Source organism: Homo sapiens, chromosome 6, assembly GCF_000001405.40.
Source record: "Homo sapiens chromosome 6, GRCh38.p14 Primary Assembly".
Lineage (NCBI taxonomy): Eukaryota > Metazoa > Chordata > Mammalia > Primates > Hominidae > Homo > Homo sapiens.
Window position 1 is genome coordinate 43,641,234 of NC_000006.12, and position 3,802 is coordinate 43,645,035.

General features: G+C 47.4%; 1 annotated feature.

Moving 5' to 3' along the window:
• Positions 3,222 to 3,410: a silencer, noted in NCBI's record as "fragment chr6:43612192-43612380 (GRCh37/hg19 assembly coordinates)". NCBI's record gives its function as "represses an EF-1alpha promoter that drives an FKBP-Casp9 reporter gene in an ReSE screen in HepG2 liver carcinoma cells {active_cell/tissue: HepG2}" and the evidence as "EXISTENCE:reporter gene assay evidence [ECO:0000049][PMID:32094911]".

The following is a 3,802-nucleotide window of genomic DNA, read 5'->3' on the forward strand; positions in this document are numbered from 1 at the left end:
TCACCATGTTGGCCAGGCTGGTCTCGAACTCCTGCCCTCAAGTGATCCACCTGTCTTGGCCTCCCAAAGTGCTGGGATTACAGGTGTGGGCCACCGTGCCTGGCCTTAGGATTTTTTTACTAATGATTTTTTCTCTTGTTCAGCCCCAGGCTAGTCTAGGAAATTAAGTGACTTGGCCAAGTGCATATGTAGTTTGATAGCAGAGTTAGGACTAGAGTCCTCATTAGCTATCTTTTAGCCAACGTGCTTTTCTTATCCCATACAGATTTTTGTGATGCTTAAATTCTGTATCCCCCAAAGCAGAGGTCACCTTTATGTGGGAAGATTGTGGTAAGGAACTTAGCTTAGCAGGCCATTGAATGAGAGCAGTGATTTTGGGAAATAGTCTGGCTAGGTGCTTGGTTTGTAGTAAACTGTGAGCAGGTGTGTGCTGAATAGTGAGAGGGGAGGAGCCTCTGTGCCTGGCCAAACACCTCAGTTTTTGGAAGCAAGTTGAAGACAGAATCCACACCTTGCTGATGTTCGGGATAGGTATATGTGTGTGTATGTATAATATATAAATGGTATGTATAGTCCAGGTGGGTGACTCATGCCTATAATCCCAGCACTTTGGGAGGCCAAGGTGGGCAGATCGCCTGAGGTCAGGAGGGAGACCAGCTGGCCAACATGGTGAAACCCCATCTCTACTAAAAATACACAAAAAAAGGCTGGGCATGGTAGCTCATGCCTGGCATCCCAGCACTTTGGGAGGCTGAGATGGGTGGATCACAAGTTCAGGAGTTCAAGACCAGCCTGACCAACATGGTGAAACCCTGTCTCTACTAAATATACAAAAATTAGCTGGGCTTAGTGGCGAGTGCCTGTAATCCAGCTACTTGGGGAGGCTGGGGCAGGAGAATTGCTTGAACCCGGGAGGCAGAGGTTGCAGTGAACCGAGATCACGCCACTGCACTCCAGCCTGGGCAACAGAGTGAGACCCGGTCTCAAAAAAAAAAAAAGAAAAAAGAAAAACAATTAGCCAGGCGTGGTTGTGGGCGCTTGTAATCCCAGCTACTTGGGAGGCTGAGGCAGGAGAATCACTTGAACCCGGGAGGCGGAGGTTACGGTGAGCTGAGATGGTGCCACTGCACTCCAGCCTGGGTTACAGAGAGACTCCATCTCAAAAAAAAAAAAAAAAGGTACATACGTACACATATGTACATAGAATAAGATACATATACGTACACCTAAAATATACTATTTTTAAAGTATATGTACTGTTTTAAGCACTTACATTATCTAACCCTAACAACTTTGCAGTGCATGAATTATTGTCCCCATTTTATAGATGAGGCCAGGGGAAATTGAGCAGCTTGCCTAAGTGGTGAAACTTGGATTCGCCTACATTACTGCACATCCTATGTGGTTTTACTCTGAAATATTTAGCCAGGATTTGCCTTGCCAAAGGTATTAGCATCAGGAAGCTGTAAGATTCTCCTCTCTGGCTTCAGATTCTGGTGTCTGCCATGGAGCCTGCAATAGGTGCTAAGTATGAAATCAGTGAAAGCAAAATGCCTGGGCTCTTTTCTGTGCTATGACCACTTGAAGCATATTCTGCTGTAGCAGGACAAGCTGCAGACAAAACCCCTCAGACACCGAGTTACAGAAGGAAGCAGTTTATTCGGCCGGGAGTGTCGGTAAGACTCCTGTCTCAAGAGCTGAGCTCCCCGAGTGAGCAATTCCTGTCCCTTTTAAGGGCTCACAACTCTAAGGGGGTGCGCGTGACAGAGTCGTGATTGATTGAGCAAGCAGCGGGTACGTGACGGGGGGCTGCATGCACCAGTAATTAGATCGGAACAAAACAGGATAGGGATTTTCACAGTGCTTTTCTATACAATGTCTGTAATCTATAGATAACCGATTAGGTCAGGGGTCGATCTTTAACTACCAGGCCCGGGGCGCGGTGCTGGGCTGTCTGCCCGTGGATTTCATTTCTGCCTTTTAGTTTTTACTTCTTTGTAGGCAGAAATTGGCATAAGACAATATGAGGGGTGGTCTCCTCCCTTACTGCCAGCCAGAATTTTGACTGTTTTTCTGTTTAATGCTATTATAGAAGAGAGATTGAGCCGTATCTCCCGCTCAGGGAAAGGAAAGGCTGAGAGGTCTGCCTAAAGGGAGTGGGGGTGGTTGTGAACAAGAGAGCCATAAATTGTTTTGAGATAACACATTAAGCCAAATCAACTCCCTCAAATACTAATTTTATTTATTTATTTAGTTAGTTAGTTGTATTTTTTGAGACAGGCTCGCTCTGTTGCCCAGGCTGCAGTGCGGTAGCATGATCTTGGCTCACTGCAATCTCTGCCTCCCAGGTTCAAGCCATTCTCCTGCCCCAGCCTCCCGAGTAGCTGGGATTACAGCTGTGGGCCACCAAGCCCGGCTGTTTTGTATTTTTAGTAGAGACAGGGTTTCACCATGTTGGTCAGGCTGATCTCATAACAATGCCTTCCTAAACAATGCCTAAGCCTGGGCGTGGTGGTTCACACCTGTAATCCCAGCACTTTGGGAGGCTCAGGTGAGTGGATCACTTGAGCTCGGAGTTCAACACCAGCCTGGCCAACATGGCAAAACCCCGTCTCTACTAAAAATACAAAAAATATTGGGTGTGGTGGCACACACCTGTAGTCCCAGCTACCTGGGGGGCTGAGGTGGGAAGATCACTTGAGCCCAGGAGGTTGAGGCTGCAGTGAGCTGAGATCACACACCACTACACTCCAGCCTGGGTGACAAAGTGAGACCCTGTCTCAACCCCCGAAAACCAACAATGCCCAGACAATCAAAAAAGTAATTATCTGGGTTATTTACACACTTATTTATCAGCTGGGGCCCAGGTCATTCTGATTTCCTGAGTGCTCTTCAAAGGAATCCAGAAATGAAAATATCAACTAGCAACATTAACGATAAAGCCCATCTCCTGTGGCAACAAGCTTGCTGAGGAACCTGTTTGTTTGTCCTTGGCTGGGGACTCAAGAAGTGAATGTGGAGAAGTGATCTAGCCCAGGGAGTGAAGCTCCAGTTGCAGTGAGGTTCTGGCCTTTCATCTCTTGCTACCATTTGGATCTAAAAACAACAGTTGGTGGTAGTTGGTAGTTGATGAGAAAGGTGGTAGTTGATGAGAAAGTGTAGTCTATAAAAGTCCCCCTTTTTGTATCTCTCTCCTCACCCTCCTTTCCCAAGGTGTTACCCTATACCTTGCCCCCATTGCCTAGATTTTCATTTGTCACTTAGAATATTTCTATGGAAAGGGTAGATAAAGAAGACAGCTGGTGAAGATGGAAGAGAATGGATGGACCTCATTCTGTAAGACCTGGCTTGGGGTGGGGTGCGGGTGGAGGTAGTCGGGTTGACAGAATCTTAATTAGAGCCAGGAGGAATCTCAAATTCTTCACAGATCATTCTGAGGTCAAGAAGTGACATGACTGGGGTGAAATAGTACAGTTAGTGTCAGTGTTGGGGTTTTGTATTGTTTTCTTTCCAGACCCCAGGTCCATATACAGTAAAGACTCTAAATGTCGACTATGTGAAAGGGCTCAGGGAAGGCCAAATATCTATGGAAAAAGGCTGGGTTTGGACTTACAACCCCAACTGTAGCCTAACTGTAGGGGAAGCCATACTGTGGCCGTGGCAACTGAAGACATCCCGTCCCAAACTCTGGAAAGGATGAGGGAGGGGGCTGATGCCTAGGCCTCCGTGGGGAGGAGGTCTGGGCGGTAGGCGGTGGGGTGGGTGGAACCTAGCGTCCAGCTAGGCGGAAGGGCGGAGCTTC